This window comes from Homo sapiens, chromosome 9 (genome assembly GCF_000001405.40).
Source record: "Homo sapiens chromosome 9, GRCh38.p14 Primary Assembly".
Classification (NCBI taxonomy): Eukaryota; Metazoa; Chordata; class Mammalia; order Primates; family Hominidae; genus Homo; species Homo sapiens.
Window position 1 is genome coordinate 61,367,251 of NC_000009.12, and position 21,060 is coordinate 61,388,310.

The window sequence follows — 21,060 nt, forward strand, 5'->3', positions numbered from 1 at the left end:
GGCAGAGAAAATAATTACTGAATATTTTTAATACAAAATGAATAGCTCAGGATATTTGTAAGGGCTTTTCAATATCAAGATATTTATTTCCCACATTAGGAAGTATAACTCCTAATGAAAACTTAGCACCATAGTTTAAAATCATATTAATAAATAAAAGCAAAATTCTTACATTGGGGAAATGACCCACAAATGGTTTGTTATAGTATGCGATCTTTAACTACTTGGAATTTCCACTATTCTGCACAGTGCAATATCCCAAAACAGAATAGGATGTGAGATTTCATTGTTTTGTATGAGGAATCTAGAGGAAAGAAATTGATAAAAATGTATGCAATAATTTAAAAATATAAAGAGTATCAATCTCTGATAGAATAATGTAAATGTAGCAAATATTTAAGATAACTAATCTAATAAGAATTAAATTCCCCTACATTTTTCTTCTCCCCTCCCCTCCCCTCCCTTTTCCCCTTCTTTCCCCTTCTTTCTCCTTTCCCCCTTTCACCCTTTTTCCCTTTCCCTTTCCCTGAACAGCTGGGATTACCCTTGTCCCAAGTAGCTGAGATTACAAGCACCCACCACCAGGCCCGGCTGATTTTTATATCTTCTGGTACAAATGGGGTTTCACCATGTTTACCAGGCTGGTCTCCAACTCCTGGCCTCAGGGGATTCGCCCACCTTGGCCTTCCAAAGTGCTGGGATTACAGGTGTGAGCCACCACGCCTGGTCCTCATTTTTCATAAAATCAAAATTCTTGCGTATTCCCCTCCTTAGCTTATAGGTCAGAAGCTACACTAAGCTTCCCAATGTGCCTAGGTGTTAGATGTGCCAATTTACATATACAACAAAGGACCTGAAAAGTAGAACATTAATACAACAGAAAATATTTTGCCTGAGGATATTGTTTACTAAATTTTTTATCTGTGCCTTTTAATAGTTCTTAGAACTAGTAAGTCCAATGGCATTCTATTTTTATGCTTTTTTCCCTCAGATTTGTAGCATATGACAATGTGAATATGTTACAAATGTTGAATGATTTAGCTGACTACAGGCCAAACAAAATAGCATCAAGTTATCTATAGCAAAATGTGTTTCGGTTGAAGAAATATGTAGATTTTAAAGAAATTAATCTTATTTACTTACGCAAAGAGTATGCTTCAGCAGCATATGTAACTTTAATTAAAATTCATCTAAAATAGGTTGTTAGTACTAAGGAAGTGGCATTCAAACAAACAAAATATTCATAAGGATGTTAATATAGATTAGACATGAGAACAAATATTTGGCTGGTCTGATTCTCTTGGGTCACTTTAAAAATTATTTTTAAAATTTTTGAAATCGAGGCATAACTTAAAATACAATTAAATGCATAAAGTGTGCCATTTGGTTAATATTTACAGATGTATATGCCTGTATTACCAGAGCCCAGATCAAGTTACAGATCATTTCATCACCCCCTTACCATTTGTTAATACTTTTTATTGATTATCTAGGCACCTCCTACCTATCACTGTTCTACTTTCTGTCATATTATTTAGGTTGGCTTGTGCTTTTGAACTTACAAAAAGTCATACAGTACCAGAATCATACAGAAGCTTTTGTATCCAGCTCCCTTTAGTGAGCATAAGGTTTCTGAGATCCATCCATGTTGTTGCGTGGATTTGTGGCACATTTCCTTCTATTGCTGAGTAGATTTCAATTGTGCTGTTTGTTTATCCATTCTTTTTAAAATGGACACTTGTGGCTTGTTTCCAGTATGGATCTATTATGAATAAATTTCTACAAACATTCTTTTACATCGCTTTTGGGAGTGGAATTTCAGTATGTGAAACTCTAAAGAAACTGTCAAACTATTTTCAAAAGCCCTTGAACATGTTATACTCCCATTGGCAATGTGTGTCAATTCCAGTTGCTTCTTATCCTGGTCAACATTTGGTATTAAAATCATTAACCATTGGAGAAATATAAGTTAATATCATAGAGAGATAATATGTTCTCTAGGATGGCTAAAATTAAAGAATGACAACACCTGTGAACTATATTACTCATGGCACCACAAACAACAACATGAGTTTCAGCATATTTGTATCTGTCTCCTTTGCCCCTGAGGCCCACAGTGGCAATGCAATAGGGCACGTATGAATATTACACTCATAGCAGACTTGTATTGCAGCTGAGAAATAATGAGCTGGGGGAATCTACTGCAGTTATAGCAAGTAGTAAGTGAGAAGGCTTTTTGTGTGGAAGAAAATGTAACCTCACCTCTCAAGGTTAACCAGCTGCATAAACAACCATGAAAAAAGGGTCCATAAAAGAGTTTTTAGGCCTTTGTAGTCTTAGCAGACCCAACAAAACATGTAGGAGTGCAAGCTGCTTAAAGTGGACTGTCTCTCCATACATGATTGTGTATGGATAACATGATCCTATATGGAGATCTTCTAAGAAATCTAGAAATCTAAAAGACACCAACTAATAAGTGAATTTTAGCAAGTTAACAGGATACAAGGTTAATATACAAAAATCAGTTCTTTTTTATGTAGTAGTAACGATCTGATTATCAAATTAAGAAAAGAATTTCATTCACAATAGCATTAAAAAATAAAATACTTAAATGTAGATCTTACGAAAGGTGTGCAGGACCTGTTCATGGAACACTATAAAACATAGCTATTAGAAAATAAAGAAGACTCAAATAAATTGAGAGACACACTATGTTTATAGATTGGAAGAAACTGGAATTGTCCTAATTGTAATAATCCTAATTGTCATACTTTGTTGGTGGGAATGTAAATGGTGCCACCACCTTGGAGAATAGTTTGGCAGTTTCTTAAAAAGTAAAAGCATGTACTTACCATATAAACCAGCAATTCCACTCCAAAAAATATATGTTCACTCTAAGACTTAAATGTTCATAGCGGCTGGGCACAGTGGCTCACACCTGTAATGCCGCCAGTTTGAGAGGGCGAGGTGGATGGATTATTTGAGGTCAGGAGTTCGAGACCAGCCTGGCCAACATGGCGAAACCCCGTGTCCACTAAAAATACAAAAATTAGCTGGACGTGGTGGTGCACGCCAGGAATCCCAGCTACTCGGGTAGCTCAGGCAGGAGAATCGCTTGAACCTGGGAGGTGGAGGTTGCAGTGAGCTGAGATTGCATTGAATCTTGGCCTGGGCAACAGAGCGAGACTCTGCCTGTTGTAAAATGTAAAAAAAAATGTAAAAAAAAAAAGTAAATGCAAAAATGTAAAAAATGTAAAAAAAATTTATATATATATATATATATTCATAGCAACATTATTCATAGTAGATGATATGGTTTGGCTGTGTCCCCACTCAGATCTCATCTTGAATTGTAGCTCTCGTAATTCCTAGGTGTTGTGGGAGGGACCCAGTGGGAGATAACTGAATCATGGGGGCGGTTCCCCCATACTGTTCTCGTAGTTGAGAATCAATCTCACAAGGTCTGATGGTTTTATAAGGGGGAACCCCTTTTGCTTGATAGTCATTCTGTCTTGTTTGCTGCCACGTAAAATATGCTTTTCGCCTTCTGCCATGATTGTGAGGCCTCCTCAGCCACATGGAAATGTGAATCCATTAAACCTTTTTTCTTTATGAATTACCCAGTCTCAGATATGTCTTCATCAGCAGTGTGAAAATGGACTAATACAGTAGACAAAAACTGGAAACAACTCAAATGTCCATCAGCCACTGAATGGATAACCACAATGTGGCATATTCATTGAACTGGTTGCTATTTAGTAATAAAATTAAAGCTACCGATAGGCCATGATTTCTTTATGTACTTAATTGTTCCTTAATGTTACCAATTACTCTTAATGAAGAATGCCGTCCCACTCCTCTCTAGGATTTTCGCATCGCTCTCTTACAGTTTGCATTCTTCCTTCTAAAAATGTTGTCCTTTCACTTTTTTCCTGTTCAAAAAAATCCAGTGATAACATGTGACAGCTCAACTGTCATGCAGTTCTTGGCAAGAAAGGTGAGGTTGAATAGGAAACTTCCTATTTACCAGAGGCAACTGGAATCACTCAAGAATAAAGGGACACTGTATTCACCATCATATTGCCAGCTTCTGCTCCGGAGAGATGAAGTACATGTCTTTAATATATTCTTCCTGATAAGTACATTTTAAAAGGCACTTTATATATAAAATAAACATAAGAATGAAAAATTGTAGGGAAGACAGACCATCTAGGAACCTGAGGAATTGAGGAAATTATAGAGATAGAAAACAAATTAGTGGTTGCTATGTATAACTGTAAAGGGTACCAATGAGGAGGATTGTTGTGGTAGTGAAGTCGTTCTCTTTCTTGATTGTGGTGGGGGTTACGGACCCTAAACGTGTCATACAACTACATAGACACATCGTTTCCTGGTTTTGATATTGTACTGTAATTTTATAAGATGTAACCATTGGTAGAAACTAGGTGAAGAGTACACATCACTTCTCTGTACTATCTTTGCCAATTGATGTGAAGCTATATTTCAAAATAATTTTTTTCTTAAATAACATTTAATTTCTGACTGGCAGTTTAATTTGTGCTTCAAAACGGATTCAAAAGGACTATGACCAATGATGAAAATGGTAAATTACAACAGTTGGTCCTATAACCAACTCTCCTACATTAGTTATTAAAGTCAGTGTTAACGGAGGCATTCCAGAACTTCTGTAGGACATGGTGCAGATTCACCTATTTTCTTTCACATTAATTTTTGCCAACTGGATTTTTTTAGGTTGTCATATTTTTTCCAAAGAATTCAGTGGGACAAACTTTAGCAGAATTCTGACGCCCCACATTGTACCCGATGTGTGCTTGCCTCTAAAAAAATTTCTCTGTTAATAGCAACTTAAAATAAACATTATTGTAATGTTTAGAGGACATTCCTTTTGCATCATATTTTGATAGTGTCCTATTACATGCAATAACAAATGCATGTCTCTTTTCATACGAGGCTTTCACAGCAATTTCATAAACTATAATTAGTTTAACTACATAATATCCTTAGGAAAAATGTAAATATTACCATCTCTTTTTTTTTTAGGGGGTGGGCTAGGGGATTTTGGTTGACTGAGCAATCAATCACATACAGATGGATAATTTGGTATTCACTAAAATATTCACTTCTCAGCATTTCACTCTCGTGTTTCCTTGCATGATATCAATTGTCATTTAATAAGAAAGACAAATACACGTGTTTAATCACTCCCTGAAGAAAGTAAACACACTATCTGTGGGAAATGGAACACAATGAGAGGCGTGCAGTCAGCCTCAGGGTGCCCTGACTCCATTCCAGCCCTCTCCTCATATGCCCCGTTTGCACATCACCCATCACTTTTGCCTAATTGTTTCTACTCACCAAGTGAAGATAATGGCTTCTTTGCCTGCTCAAGTGATAATTTGAGATTATATGTCTCATCAGATAATTTATTGGATGTATGAAAAAATGCACAATGATGGTTTTATTGAATTATGCAGTTAGTTACCAAGATGAATGGAACTACACCTACCCAAAAATCAAGATGTGGTGGAGATAACGGAGGTTATAGGCTGAGTCATTTAACCTTTAGGGCTCTTTCTGATGTTTTCTGTGAGGGCCAAATAGAGTTCTCAGTGGAGTGCATGTGAGTTTCTGCCAATGGCCAGTGGAGCAAGTGCCTGCAAGAGGGAACACTCCCCCAACTTCTGGGGTGATAAAGGATTTCTCACTGTCCCACCAGCCTGCACAGTAGGTTTCACCATTTTGTTAACTATTCCAGCTGAACTTTTCTTACTGACCTCTGGTTTCATCTATGTAAGGTGAGATCCTGCTCACATCTCTCCCTGTGAGGTTCATATCTCTTTAGATTTTAGGCTAGGTGGTGGTTCTGCAAGCTCAACTCTCCAATGCATTTGTAAAAGATCATGAACTTGAAGTTGGTTGTAAGGGTGGAAATGAGGCTCCTTATAGCTTTCTACTTCCTGGGGCAGAAGCCAGAAGTTCCAGCCCATAGATTTTGATAAGTTGTATTTTCATTTTCATTCAGCTTGAAATACTTGCTAATTTCCCTTTTAGTTTCTTCTTTGATTCATTGATTATGAAGTATGTGTTATTAGTTTCCTAATATTCCTGGATTTTTCAGAGAAGTTGCTATTGTTGATTTCTTATTTTAATCTATTGTATATCACAAAGATATACTTTACATGACTTAAATGATTTTAACTTTGTTGAAACTTGTTTAATGACTCGTTTAATGGTCTATTTTGGTAAAAGTTCCAAATGAACTTGAAAAAGAATACATGTTCTTCTGTTAGGTGAAACATTCCATAAATATCAATGAATCATATAGGTTGATAGTGATAATTAATACTTCTGAATCCCTATTTTCTGTCTTCTTGTGCAATCAGTTACCGAGACGGGGTGCTAGAATCTCCTACTGTCATTGTGGATTTATCTATTTCATTCAGTTTTACTAGGTTTCATTTCATGTATTTTGAAGCTCTGTTATTAAGTGTTTGCATGTTTAGGATTATGTCCTATGATGAAAGAACATCTTAATCATTACGAAATAATTTTCTTTACCTTTTATAATAATTTTTGCACTGAAATCTACTTTAATATAGCCAATCCAGCTTTTTAAAAAACTATTATTGGCATAATATATATTTTTCCATGTGTTTACACTTAGGCTATTTGAGCCTTTTTTATTTAAAGTGTGTTTCTTGTAGGCAACATATAGTTGGATCTTGCTTTCTCATCTAATCTGACCATCATTGCCATTTAATAGGAGTGTTTGTACTACTTGCCTTTAATATGATTATATGATTAATTTTAAGTCTAACATCTACTATTTGTTTTTTGTTTATTCTTTGTCCATTTTCAAAGCTACTAGGGAGTGTAGATGCATTTTGTAAGAGAATACATTTTATAAATTGTTATATACACTCTGAGATTTTAACCATAATTGCAGTACTTTTTTTATGAACACATTTTTAGTAGGCTGAATATTCTTTCTGCTTCAACCTGCTAAGATTGAAGGAATTACTGCTGAAATAGAACATGTACACAAAGACAGATTCTGAGGGAGGGTTTCTGTATTTTTTACTTTAAAACAGCATAGTTGAAAAAGACTGTAGTACCTGATTCTATATCTGTGTAGTTAGCCCTTTTTTTTCTAAATGAAATTAGATCTCAGGTAAATGTTTAAATTACCCTCAGCAAAAAGGCAGACCTACTGACAAAAAGCATGGCTGTTTAAAGCCTATAAATCTCAGAAGTGGAATGAGGGAGTTGATTTAAAGCCAGCTTCACTCCTCTTCCCTATAAATTACATATAATCACACTGGAGTGTAGGAGCTGTGACAGTCCCTACCTCACATCTCACTTCCCACCTCCTGCTCACCCCAGGGAATACCTGAAATTTTTAATGTGAATTAAAATGCAATTAGATGAGGAAAGAAACAAATATATCTGGATAAAATCACATTTGAAACAATTTGTTATCTTAGTGGGAAGTGTCTCGTGGGGACAAGGTTGACTTAACTGTGTGTTTGCTTGGTATACAGAAGTCCCTAATAGTGGCTGGCTTTGAACATTTACTTTGTTTACTTATATTTTGTGCCCTCAACATCAAATTTAGTTAAGGAAGGTATAAGATTATGGTGATATGATGATAATTGTAATGATGATGATGATGATTTACCTGTGCATTATTTCCCCTGTAAACAAAGTCAATACATACTCTGTGACAGTGCTGTCACTTATGACTAGATACTATAGTCATGGGAAGTTTTATTGTTGTTAGTCAGAAATAATTAAGGCTCCAGCTGTAGGGTTTCTACTTTTCTTTCACAGAGCCCCCTGCCCCAGATAGTGAAATGTAACTTTGACCTGATGTAAGTGCAGAATTATAACAAACAGATATAACTGTACAAAATAGAGACATAATCATGCCAGATTATTCATAACCAAAAAGTACTAAGTGATTGACAAATCATGTGAATATATTCATGGACAGGGATAAAAATGAAACATAAGCTGATTTTAAAAATAATATCTTTCCATGTGTTTTAATTAGTGATTTTATTTTCTCATCTGTAAGGTAGATACGATAAAGACAACCCACTGAATGCTTTTAGAAATAAAAAATGATAATATGCTTGAAAATATCTGGTCGAATTCTCAGCATACAATATATGCTTCAGAGTTTCTCACTTCCCCCTTTTCCCTTGTTTTCCATTACAAAATAAGTGGCAAAACTTTAATAATTTCCTCAGAACTTGAAAACTTAAAAGTGGATAAAACGGTTCATAAGATAAATCCTATGTTGTGTGAACATTTAGGGACAAAACAGTTAGCGCAGCTCAGCATCTTCACTGTGGTACCAATATCAACCTTTATAAAAACGAATTACCCTTTAAAAAATAACATCTGCTGTTCCTCAAGCCATATAAAGTGTAAGAGAAAGTTTCAGTTGCTCAGCATATTTTAATCTCATTCCAGTAATGGAACATGTGTGTCAGAACATATATTATGAATGGAGGGGATGAGTTTTCATAATTCATAGGATCTGTGGGGTAGAATTGTGACACTTTATTTAACTCAGGTGCAATGTCTTGTCAGAGGCAGGGGGAGGAGGGTGAAGTGGAGAAGAAACATTTGTTATGGGGGAGAGGCTGAGCTTAGAGGACATAACTGCTTCCCCTGTTTTGTGTACAAAGTTTTGTTGACCATAGACTAGAAGGGACTATGAAAAGACACTTCCAGGTTGAAAAGTAGTCAGCACATGTATAATCTTGACTTAACAAATAGAAGACTTTCATTTGTTTTAATTTAAAGACAACAAAAATTGAGTATAACATCACATTTGAATAATAATTTAGTTACAAAGTGCTGTAGTTTCAGTTATCCCATTGTCTTCCTTACAGTCTTGTGACGTGATTTATATGACTGTTAATCCCCCCACTCCCAACTTTATGCTTTTCTTTTTTAAACAAAGGACAACATTTTTGTCTCAGAGAGGCTGAGTGACTGGACAATTACTACACTCTAGTTGGGGGTGGAGTCAGCCAACCTCCTTTCTCTTTCTGTTACCCATAGTGGCCTTCTATACCAACCATCAAAGCTGCCTTTAACAAAGGCACACAGACTAGTGCTATCCAGCAGTGCACAGGTCAGTCACGCTGTGTTTCCCACCATTTCCACTCAGCGTTTAATTAAATTGTGTGCACAGCAGCTTACCCTTAAAACGCATCTGGGATTGCAGATTTCCTGAGGCTACAACATCCTGATGAAATTCTTTGGTAATGCCAGAATTTCATTACTTTATCAGTAATGGCTGAAAATATAGCTTATTTGCATTTGAGTACTACTTCATCAAAGGTAAAATGAAGTCACTGAAATGTGTCATCTGTTACCAGGAGTGCAACCATGAACACCAACAAACTAACAAACTGTGAGGGATGCCGAGAAGAGGGATGGCCAGCGGCTCCCTCTTCATCTGATGAAAACACACCACCCCAGGGTAGCACACCAGAACCGTGTCAACTCATTTTCCTCCTTGTGCTTCTCCACATGTGTTCTCATAGTAATTACTTTTCTAAACCTGGAATGAGAGGGAGTGAAAACACCAAAGAAAGGTTATGAAATACAAGCTGAAGAGGATGCCCTTAACTAAGATGAGGGGAAGAACCAAAAATATTGAATAGTTCCTCAGAAGTTTCAGCTCTGTGTATAAAATTCCCAATGTACAACATCCAGCCTAAGATGATGGGTTGGCTGTTAGCATCTCCCTCACCTTCTCCCAACTCTTTTAAAACAGCCATAAAATAGGCTGGGCCCAGTGGCTCGTGCCTGTAATCCCAGCACTTTGGGAGGCCGAGATGGGCAAATCACTAGGTCAGGAGACCGAGACCATCCTGGCCAACATGGTGAAACCCCTCTCTACTAAAAATACAAAAATTAGCTGGGCGTGGTGGCACGTACCTGTAATCCCGGCTACTTGGGTGGCTGAGGCAGGAGAATTGCTTGAACCAGGGAGTTGGAGGTTGCAGTGAGCAGAGATCTCGCCACTGCACTCCAGGCTGGTGACAGAGTGAGACTCCATCTCAAAACAAACAAACAAACAAAAAAAACAACAAAAAAAACCCCCATAAAATAGTAATAAGAAAAACAGAAAAGGATACACAGTTTCATTAGTGTTGTACCTAGGACTATTGGTTGCTAGTTAGACCAACCCCAAAAGGATCTCCCACCAATTAAAGTTTACATAGGCTTAGGAGAGAAGAGTAGATCTGGTGGAGTCAACAGGAAGGGCCAGTAGAGAAAAACCCATTGGCACTGCACCCTCAGCTTTCCGAAACCCAGACCTTGCCTGACCAGGAGTAGGAGAGGTTGCCCTGCTGTATGGGGGCTGCTGCCTTAGGTAGCCAGACCTGCTCACTCCCAAACGTCTTTACATCTTTGTTACATTTATTTGAGAAACACCACATCCCACGATTATCATCAAAATAATATAATAGAAATATTTAATTGCACAGGTTCTGGATCCAAAGCTCATGGGCCCCTTGCTAGATGCGTAAACATAGGTGAGCTGCCCACCATATATGGAGGGTAGTAATGAGGCCTTGTCTTTTAAAGGTATGTTAGGAATTAAATGCAAAATTTATTTAAAGGGAACTCTTTGCCTGACCTAGAGTTCTCAAATGCTCGATAAGTGTTCATTGTTAAATTGAGTGATTATGGAAGTGGGTAGGTGGAATTCTGTTACATCCTGAAAAGTTAAGTTGGAAGGAGGAATGAGCAGAGAGAAGAAACTGTGGAAGTAGTTCCTACTGAGGGCTAAAGAAATCTGTGCACTGTCTCTGGCAGGGGCTCACATAAATATTGCTGTAAATCATCCAAGAATAAATATTGCCCGATCTAGGAAACCATGTTGCATGAGTGGAGGATGCCCCTGGTCTGTAGCAGAACATTTAACTTTGAACAAGAGCTGTGTCCACCTCCTAGCTGTCTGGATTAAGAAAATAAATGGAGTATTTTAGTGTCAATCAGATGCACAGTGTTGGTTACCAATAATTTTCCATCTTGTCTACTAGATCAAATTCCTGACTCTTCAATTCAAAACATGGAACAATAAAAAGCAAAACAAACAAAAATTATATATATGTCTGTGTACATACTATATATATAATATAAACTTTAGAGGTGCTTATCGTACATTCAGAGGAAAAAATATTTTTGAACAAAGATTCACTACAAAAATATCTTAGAATCTGACTTCTAAGAATCTGTAAACTTGGGAATCATAAGGAAACAGTAGTTAAGTGTGGTCATCAATTCAAATAGGTGCCTAATATTTATATTTATTATTTAAGTATGAATTGTTATTATTTAAATATAAATATTTATATTTCTCAACACTTCCCCATAATAACTTATATTAAAGTATAATGTCCTCACTTATTCGTTTTTACACCTAGCTATATTCTAATAATATCAAACTTTTTTGGACATGTAGTGAAGTACTAAAGACTTTACAAATGAGGACATAATGATAAACCCCTAATAATAAAATACACAGTATAAGTCAATGAATAATAATGAACTGTCTAGAACTTCAGACTTTCTATCAGAGCCTTCAGGTAAGTGGCAGCACCAGGGAATAATAAAAGTGTTCTGACTCCTCGGCTTGGGAATTGTTTATAGAGCACTCTCTTTTTCTAGACATTGATTATTAAAGAAGCTGTGGTTTTCGAGTGTCCCCTAATTCTATTAGACTAGAAAAATAACAAACATCAATAAAACATCAGCGGACATGCCTATGTTTTTGTTTCAGATTTGGCATTGGTCAGAGCAAAAAGCAAATTTTCTGCTCTGCACGCATCTTCTTCAATACCCGACAGTCTCCTTTTCCTTGTCCAAGGTGGATGAGCACTGTGTGAGACTTGCCCCAGTTTCCCTGCAGTACTGCCAGAGAGAGCAGAGTGCACCAGAACCTGCTTAGGACTCACCTTGACCATTTGCTACTCCATACCTTTTTGTATTTTTTTACCAATATCTCCTCCACACCCCAGTTCCTCGTAACCATCACTCTCCTCTGTACTTCTGTGAATTCAGCTTTTTAAAATTCCACATGTAAGTGGGATTGCCTCACAAAGCACTCTATGTTTTAACTCTTCTTTTACATCCATTTCTCCTATGAGACTGTAAGCACTTTGAGTGCAAGGTCAATATATTAACCGTCTTTGTTTTATCAGTGCTTAATGCTGTACTTCCTACTACTGGAATTTAGTCTCTTAGGTTGGCAAAGGGCAAATCTTGCACAAGGGCTATGAAATAACACTAGTTCCAAAAGTTGACAGGAATGCTCTAGTGGCCACCTGCATTAAACAAACATTTTCTGCAGTCAGTAGGACACCTGCCTTCTAGAATGTCAGGGGTCATCTAGCTAAATGTGAACACAATTTAGGGTTCATCCAGTCACATGTAATTCTTCTATTTTTTCTATTGTAAATCGATGATTTTCTTAATATATATTCATAATTTTATAGTTTTCTAATCTAGTAACAGCTATGTTTAAATAACTTCCTCCTCTACCATTTTTATACTTTTTCTGTTTCAATAAAGGAGCTGGTGGCTGGACTCCACTTGTGTCAAATAAATACCAATGGCTGCAAATTGACCTTGGAGAGAGAATGGAGGTCACTGCTGTCGCCACCCAAGGAGGATATGGGAGCTCTGACTGGGTGACCAGCTACCTCCTGATGTTCAGTGATGGTGGGAGAAACTGGAAGCAGTATCGCCGAGAAGAAAGCATCTGGGTATGTTTCTAATAATAATAATTGCTACCTATTGCTGCAAACCTATTAGAAAAACAGAATTTTAAGAATTACGTAGAAAAAAATGTTCTAAGTGAAAGTAAGATACCTATTTCATTGAAAGCATTGAAAGACAATCTTATATTATACCATTAAATAGTGTGGAAGTTAAAAAATAATACAAATCATATATAATTTATTTTTTCTGGGTTTGCTTAATAAAGTAATTTAACATTGCCTCTGCATTATTTTAGAGTGGTAGATTGAATTCATTTATTTTCTCTGATTTGATCTGATGTTTTTGAAAGACACTGAAATTTCAAAATGTAATAAATGAGCAGTTTCTGTGTGTATGACAAGCACAGGAACACAGACTTTGAACTTGAAGAATTGTGTGTCCTTTATTAAGCAGCCAGATTTAGTTTTTCTTGTTTTTTTTTTTTTTTTTTTTTTTTAAGAGACAGAGTTTCGCTGTTATCACCCAGGCTAGAGTGCAGTGGCACAATCTTGGCTCACTGCAGCCTCTGCCTCCCAGGTTCAAGCAATTCTTCTGCGTCAGCCTCCTTAGTAGCTGGGACTACAGGCGTGTGCCACCACACTTGGCTAATTTTTTTTTTTTTTTTTTTTTTTTGTATTTTTAGTAGAGACAGGGTTTTGCCATTTTGGCCAGGCTGGTCTCGAACTCCTCACCTCAGGTCATCCACCCATCTTGGCCTCCCAAAGTGCTGGGATTACAGGAGTGAGCCACCGCGCCTGGCCAGATTTAGTTTTTCATAGACTACAGATCTCTGTGACATTCTCTGAATCTGTAAATATCCTCATAACAGTGACATTATTTCTGTTTCTGATTATATGTCAGTGCCTCTTTGCCAGGGTAATCACTTTTTGTTTGACTTTTGCAGCTACTTGGGAGGCTGAGGTAGGAGAATCACTTGAACCCGGGAGGCAGAGATTGCAGTGAGCGGAGATCGCACCATTGCACTCCAGCCTGGGCAAAAAAGAGAGAAACTCTGTCTCAATAATAATAATAATAATAATAATAATAATAATAATAAGTATTTATTACATAGTGTTTGAAAGTAACCTGTATCTGTTTAAAATCTTGCTCTGCATTGATTAATAATGTTTAAAATGTTGTGGACAGTTTCCCTATAAAAGAGATGCTGTAAGAGAAGACTCATATAGAGTCTGCATCGTATTTGTAATTTGGCTCTTTCTTCCTCCTAAAAAAAAATACATCAATGACAGAGGTACCGTCAGCATTTTTGTTATCAAGTTAAGCAGTTCAGAGGGAAACCATAGCCAAGGCAATGCCATTTGCCAATTTTGCTTACTCTGAAAGGTTACTAGCCTGCGGGGAAAGAGCGTAAAGGTTAAGGTTCTTACTAATCCAGAACACTTAAAATGACAGATGTCAACTCTCATGATCTTACCTCGTGTAGGAACGTGTTGAGCTTCACTGGAACAAGTGATTTACTTTCCTGGTGCCCGCTCACAGTGTGAGCTTCCTTTCAAAGTCACTGTGCCTGCCTTTCATCCCTGCATCTCTATTCTGGGTTGACTTGTGGTTTCCCAAAAACATATGTTGGAATCCTAACTCCCAGTACCTCAGAATGTGACCTTAATTGGATATAAGGTTTTTACAGAGGTAATCAAGTTAAAGTGTAGTCAGGAGGGTTGACCCTAATCTAATATGACTGGTGTCCTCATCAAGAAGGACCTTTGGACCCAGAGACAGTTATACACACAGGGAACACAGTGCAAGGACACATAGGGAAGCAGCCCTGTGAGGAGGGAGGATTGGGATAATGCATGGACAAGCCACAGAACACCGGAGGCACCAGCAGCTAGGAGATGGGCATGGAACAGATCCCTCCCTAGAGCCTCCGGAGGCAGCATGGCCGGCAGACACCCTGATCTTGGACGTATGGCCTCCATCACTTTAGCTACCTAGTTTGTGGCACTTTGTTACAGCAGTTCTGGAAAACTAACTCAGCCTCTAAAGCCTAACTGTGCCTAACAGGACTAGGACATGAGGAAATGTTTCCTGAATGAATGAGGGAAATTCATCCTCTCCCAGGATGCCTTTTTTGAACAACCACAATGAAAATGGTCCTTCCTGGCTCTGCAGATCTCTAGGACTTGTTTTGGACTAAAACAATGAAATGTAGTGCTATGAGGGTTCAGGACTCAGCCTTCCATCGTTTTGAGCTAAAAGGTTTTTGGGGATAGGGCTTTATCTTTGCATCTCCTTCATCCTCCATCACTGTGACTGGCAAATTGTAACCATTTAATAGCTTCATTTCCTACTCTATGACCAACTATACAGAATTTGCATGGTGAAAAAAATGTTAATGCTACTGAAGAGAGAACCCACAAAACAAACCAGAGATGGTTCTTGTGAGTGTTCAGTTATAAGACACAGACCCGAAGAGACTTGAGAATGGCAGGCCTTGGAGAAAGCGTTACCTCGTGGGTTGTTGGAAAACAATTCAGGAGGATATTTCAGAAAGCAAAAGTAATGCAAACAAAACCATGGATAATGGATGAGATACACAACAAACAGTGAGCTGTAAGATGTGAAATGGCTGTTCAGACTGAGATGGAGAGAATATGGGGAATTTGCTGAAAGTTGTAAAATTGCAAAGAGAGAGGCTGTCAAGTTTGGATTATAAAATACCTATGTAGATATTTGAGTTTCTTTTTTTTAAAAAAACTTTTACTTTTTGTGAGTGCATAGCAGGTGTACACATTTATGGGATTCATGAGATACTTTGATACAGGCATGCAGTGCATAATAATCACATCATATAAAATGGGATATCCATCCCAAGTATTTATCCTTTGTGTTACAGACAATCCAATTATACACTTTTAGTTACTTTAAAATGTACAATTAAATTATTATTGACTATAGTCACCTTGTTGTGCTATCAAATCCTAGGTCTTATTCATTCTTACTATTTTTTTGTGCCCAATAACTATCCCCATCTCCTCCCCAGCCCCCCACGCCCCTTCCCTGCCACTGGTAACCATCATGATTCGTGTTTCTTGAACTGCTACATCAACATCTCAGGGACATATTCTCCATTTGTTTATTCATTAATCCATTCTTTTAGTAAATAAGCAAATAATTATGGTAGAGGTTAGTAATATACTCTTGGGAAATGTGAGCTGAGTCATAGTTATCATATTCTTCACTAGGCATGTCCCTTGTGTCTAGTATTTTTCCTATCAAAGCTACTTCTGTAGAAATAAATTTCACTGACTGTCTCCTATTTATCATTTTCTTAAAAAGATGGGCTGATATTGACTGTCCTCCAGTCTTATCATTGCTGCCTTAACAATAAATTACATCTCTTATTAGAGTTTCTGCCCTTTACCAAGGCATTAATTTTAGAAATGAATGGATGATATTAAAATAACTTAAGATTTATTTTTGATACCTAAAATATTAACACTCTTGATTAATGAAAATTATGTTTTTATAGGCTTATTATCTTTCCCAGCACATTATTATCTTTATTATTATTATCTTTTCCTGACCACAGCTACATCCCCTGCCCTCAGGGTCATCGTATTAACCTTCCTGTACCAGGAGAACAGAATGCATTTCCAGCTCTCTCCTAGGGATCCTGCTGCCTCTACTTTTATGTTAAGGACACGTTAAAAATGCATTCTCCAGTCTTATATATTTCTTGTATGCTCTCCCTCTGTCTTTTTATGGCTTTGTTTTTTTTGGTCTGGTTTTACCCATTACCTATGCTAATGTTTTCTATTATTAAAGATCCACAGTTGCTTATCTGCAATTTTTAATTCTAAAAGCAAAATTCTTAAAATGGTGAACCCTAAGCAGACCCAAATTTATTTAGCAGCAAAATCTGAATGTACTGACTTTGCGGCTATTTGCATTTTTTACTTACTCTGCTTAATGTGAATATTCATATGTTTTATTGCAAAAATAGTAACATATGTGATTACCACCTAGTCACTCATATTTGGTGTATACACAGTATGACCTTTCTAATATATGAAATGAATCTGAATCTAAAGCAAATCTGATACCAAGGCTTTAGATAAGAGATTGTACAGCTGTCATATCAATCACTGACATTTGATTATCTGAATGGATTAATATATCAATCCACATTCTTACTAATTACATGCTTCACATTGACGCTTCAAGGGCTAGACTGAGTTTGTGTTGAGAAATACCCAAGAAAACTAGATGTAACTGCCAGATTTATGGAATCTTCAGAGTAGTAAAAGCTCCGTTGAAAAGAGAGAATCCCTGTTACTTACAACAGGAATACATGAATCTTTTCTGAGTAACAGAACAAGCTTCATTATGTATTATACTTTCAGTTAACAAAATGTGTTTCAGGACACAGACTCACTTGAGGTGAATAATCTCCTCATCTGCTACATCATTTTAAAAGGTGCCATTACTCAAACAAGGTCAAAAGAATAAACAACAGAAGAGGGAAGATAAAAGATAATTTTCTGGGATAATCATGTGTGTGTGTATATATATATATATACATATATATAGTAGTAGTAATAGGAATGGCCTTAAAAAGCCACATGGCCTAATAAGAACAAATGTTCTGAATCAGAAAGAGAGAAAAGATATTTAGAAATCCACCTAACCATGTCCTGGAATCATGCTGAGAGATTATACCATAACATTCTATTAACCATAGTCCCAGATTAGCAATCACTGACAAGCCATTTTCCCTCATGTCTATTTTTCACTTATTTCTGAAAGAATAAAGAATTAAATCTGCAAGGAAATATAGAACTTTTTAATTCATTGTGAAATTTTCTTCTGGTTGGAATTAGATATATTCAGGATATTATCCATCCCTGACATAGGTTTCAAGTTCCCCTCTGAGCACCAGACTCCATTTCCTTTCGGATGTCAAATAGTCACGTCCAAAACTAAGTTTATTATCTCCATATCCTTCCCATCACCAAACCCTATTGCCCCTGGGCTTCCACCTCTCAGTAAATATCACAGCATTTACCAGTTGTTGGCTTGAGCCAATATGCGTGGAGTTACCAATGACTTCCATTCCTTCACACTCCACGATCAATCCATAGGCATATCCTGTCAACTCAGTCGTTAGACAGATCATGTCAGTCACAGCTTCAGAGTATATGTGGAGTCTGACAACTTTCCCTCACCTCTGTTATTACCATGACAGCCCAGTTGCCCACCATCTCTTACCTGGACCATTGTCACAGCTTCACATCCCATCTTGCTTCTGCCTTTGCAACTGGCTTCCAATTTAAATCTATAGAATTTTATTTTCTTTAATTCTTGCTGTAAATTGCCACATATTTTATGCACCATATGAATGTAGTCATTTTCAATAAAGAACTGACCTTATTTAGATAAAAAGAAATAAGCAACTTCGACCGTATTCTCTGCTTATCTGTGGCTTCAAATATTTTGTGCTATGTTGTTCTTCTAGCTGCTCTTTAAAAATGTCAAGCAAGATCCATCTTTGTACTAGCTATTCAGTATCTCTGAAATTTTCCCCTATAGCATAGATAGCTTCCTCAATTCGTTTCTTGGGTAAATTATCTCTTCCTGATAGAATTCTTCTAGATAACCTAACCCCTAATGTGCACAGAACACACACACGCAGACACGCACGCACACAGCTCCCACTGCCCTCCCCACCCCACCCGCCTCCAGCCTGTGTCTTCCCTGGTTTTGTGTTTCCTTATGGAAGTCGTTATTTCTTGTTCCCATGTATGGAATTTTGTTTTTTCCCTGTCTGTCTCTATTCACTAGGAAGATTTTATGCAAAGAAAGAAAATGTTCTCTGAATAATATTATTGGACTTTGTTTTTTAAAACTTTCTGACAAAGAACATACAATTTGCTATAACTGAATTCTTGTTTCACTGGTCTTTATCAGTGTTGAGAATTTTTGAGATCCAAAATGTAGAACCGCTCTAACTGGGAAATCTAAAAAAGTGTCCACCAGCTGTCATGGGACGTTTTTGGGGCAGTGGACAAAGTGCATTAGTAGATCTCCCATGGCCTGTGTGTATTTGTTCCTAATTGTTATCTTTATTTTCCGGGCCTGACTGGAGCAAATGTGAGTGGAACTAATGGAGGAGGCAGAAGGAAGGTCAGAGGTTGGAGATCTGCCCATCAGCACTGAGCCCAGAGGCAGCAGCTGTCTGGACTGACTCGGTACCTGCTATGAGAGAGCAGGAAAGGATGGCAGACACTGCAGTTAGCACAGAGACAGAAACATTCTCAGTCTGAGTGTGTGTTACATGCCAGACACACAGTTGGTCGACAGTAGGGAAAAGGGAGGCTGAGGGTGTGGCTGGGTAGCTACCAAGCCGTGAGCCAGTGGTGGGCAGCGACACAGTGAGTCAGAGGAAGAGCAGGTCTGCAGGACACGTCAGCCCTGCTGCCAGGTGTGGTGTCATTCCAAACAGCTGCACCTGTGGGTCCAGAGGTGGTCAGCGGATATCTAGTTTCAGTCGGCCTTCATTCTGCCTCTGGCTGTCATGGCCACTGGGTTACTGAAATCATGGCTTGTTTCCTTCTGTATCTCTCCATCTTCATGTACAGCTTCCCTTTATCCAACACGAAGTCAGGCAGATTGTCCTTGTAAGGCAAACTAAACATTAGCAGAGGCAAGTACACACACACAACACTCAGGAAGTTAGAGAACATTCTTTAGTCGCTTGAAGCAAAAGGGCTTTTCCTGGCTAGGAAGCAAAAAGAAAACATTGTTTCTAAACTTGAAGCTAATGCCATCTACCATTTATGAAGAGCTCTTTGTGCATAAGGCTGTGTGCTCTGGGTTTCCAGCACTCCCACATTTAATTCTTGCACAATTCCTGTAAGGGTTACAGTTTCCAAGAAGGTAAAGAAACAGTCTCTGGCTGTGAAAGGGCTCTTTTTCACCTTGTTTCCTAACTCCATTTCTACAATAGCAAAGGAATGAGAGACTTAGTGGTGTATTTGTCCTTATGAAACATTCTCATATATATATATATATATATACACATACACACACATAAATGATCCTCCTGCAAAGCAAAATATATGTATATATGTATACACATAATATAGATAAAGATGTATAGATATAAAATCCATCTGAAAAGCAAAGTGTAGAGAAAAAAGAACACAAAATCCTGCTAGGATGTGGTGCCAATTGAATAGGAGACATTTCTTCATGTGGATTTAGAGTTGAGCAGAGTAGCCCAAGCTTTAGAAGTTTGTTTGAGATGGATCTGTGCTAGCAAGGAATGTCACATCAAGTGACACCTCTACAAATGGATCTTTCTAATACTTGTGGGCCTTCTTCACAAATTAAGGGTCAGCATGGTGTGTTGCCAACTTCACAAATTATTCAGAAGATTTGAGTTTCAGCTGTAGGATGAAATGAGTTCAGGGGCTGGATGCAGGTGGTGGTTGAACAACAATGTGAATATATTTAATGCCACTGAACTGTACACTTAAAATGGTTAAAATGGTAGATTTTATGGGATATATATTTTACCACAATAAAAACTATTTTAAAAGGCATCCTATGAGTTAAATAGTCAATGGGCTATATTAGTAGTGCATGAGCTACACAGCCTTGTGTTACTTTTTTTCTCTCTGATTTTAATTGGGTCTGATTATTGGTAATATTGGTAATATTTGGTAATATTTGAGCAACTTGCTTCTAACTGTAGGGTTTTGAAAAAAACCATTTTTTGTGGATTCTTAAATATTGTAGTAAATGGAAACGCCCTTTTTATGGGAGCCTGTGCTGGGGCTTCACAGTCACACAGAGTTGCCTTTGAGAACAAGAATCAGTTATAAACTATGTAAAGTTGGGTAATCTAACTTCTCAAAGTTCTAACTTTCTCATTTGTAAAATTTTAATTGGGTCTGAGTTTTAATAATAAAACCTTTATTCTGAAGGTTTTATTATATTTTTCAGAATAATAAGACTCCTAAGGTTAATGTTTTTAGTCTGATGTTATTGATTCAGTCCCATTAGTGTGAGGGAGAAGCCTTCTGTGGTATGATGCCACTAGGAACACAGAGGTACCACCTGTCAAGAAGGATTTAAGCCATTGTTGCGGTGACTGAGTGAGATGCCAGTACTCTAAGTTCCATGGGCAAACACGTGACCTTGAGAAATAGCAGAAAAGATTTTAACACATATTTATGTTAGATTAAATGGGTAACTGCCTGGGAATTTTATAGAGTATCC

General features: G+C 37.4%; 1 protein-coding gene across 6 annotated transcripts in view; it reads left to right on the forward strand.

Annotated features, from left to right (window-relative positions):
- Positions 1-21,060, forward strand: part of CNTNAP3C (contactin associated protein family member 3C) — a 131,026-nt gene that overhangs the window by 36,810 nt on the left and 73,156 nt on the right. For all 6 annotated transcript variants that reach the window (XM_011545672.4, XM_017015380.2, XM_011545674.3 and 3 more), the window contains exon 3: positions 12,625-12,818. In XM_011545672.4, coding sequence (XP_011543974.1) covers positions 12,625-12,818 — 194 coding nt within the window. The remainder of the gene's footprint in view (positions 1-12,624; positions 12,819-21,060) is intronic.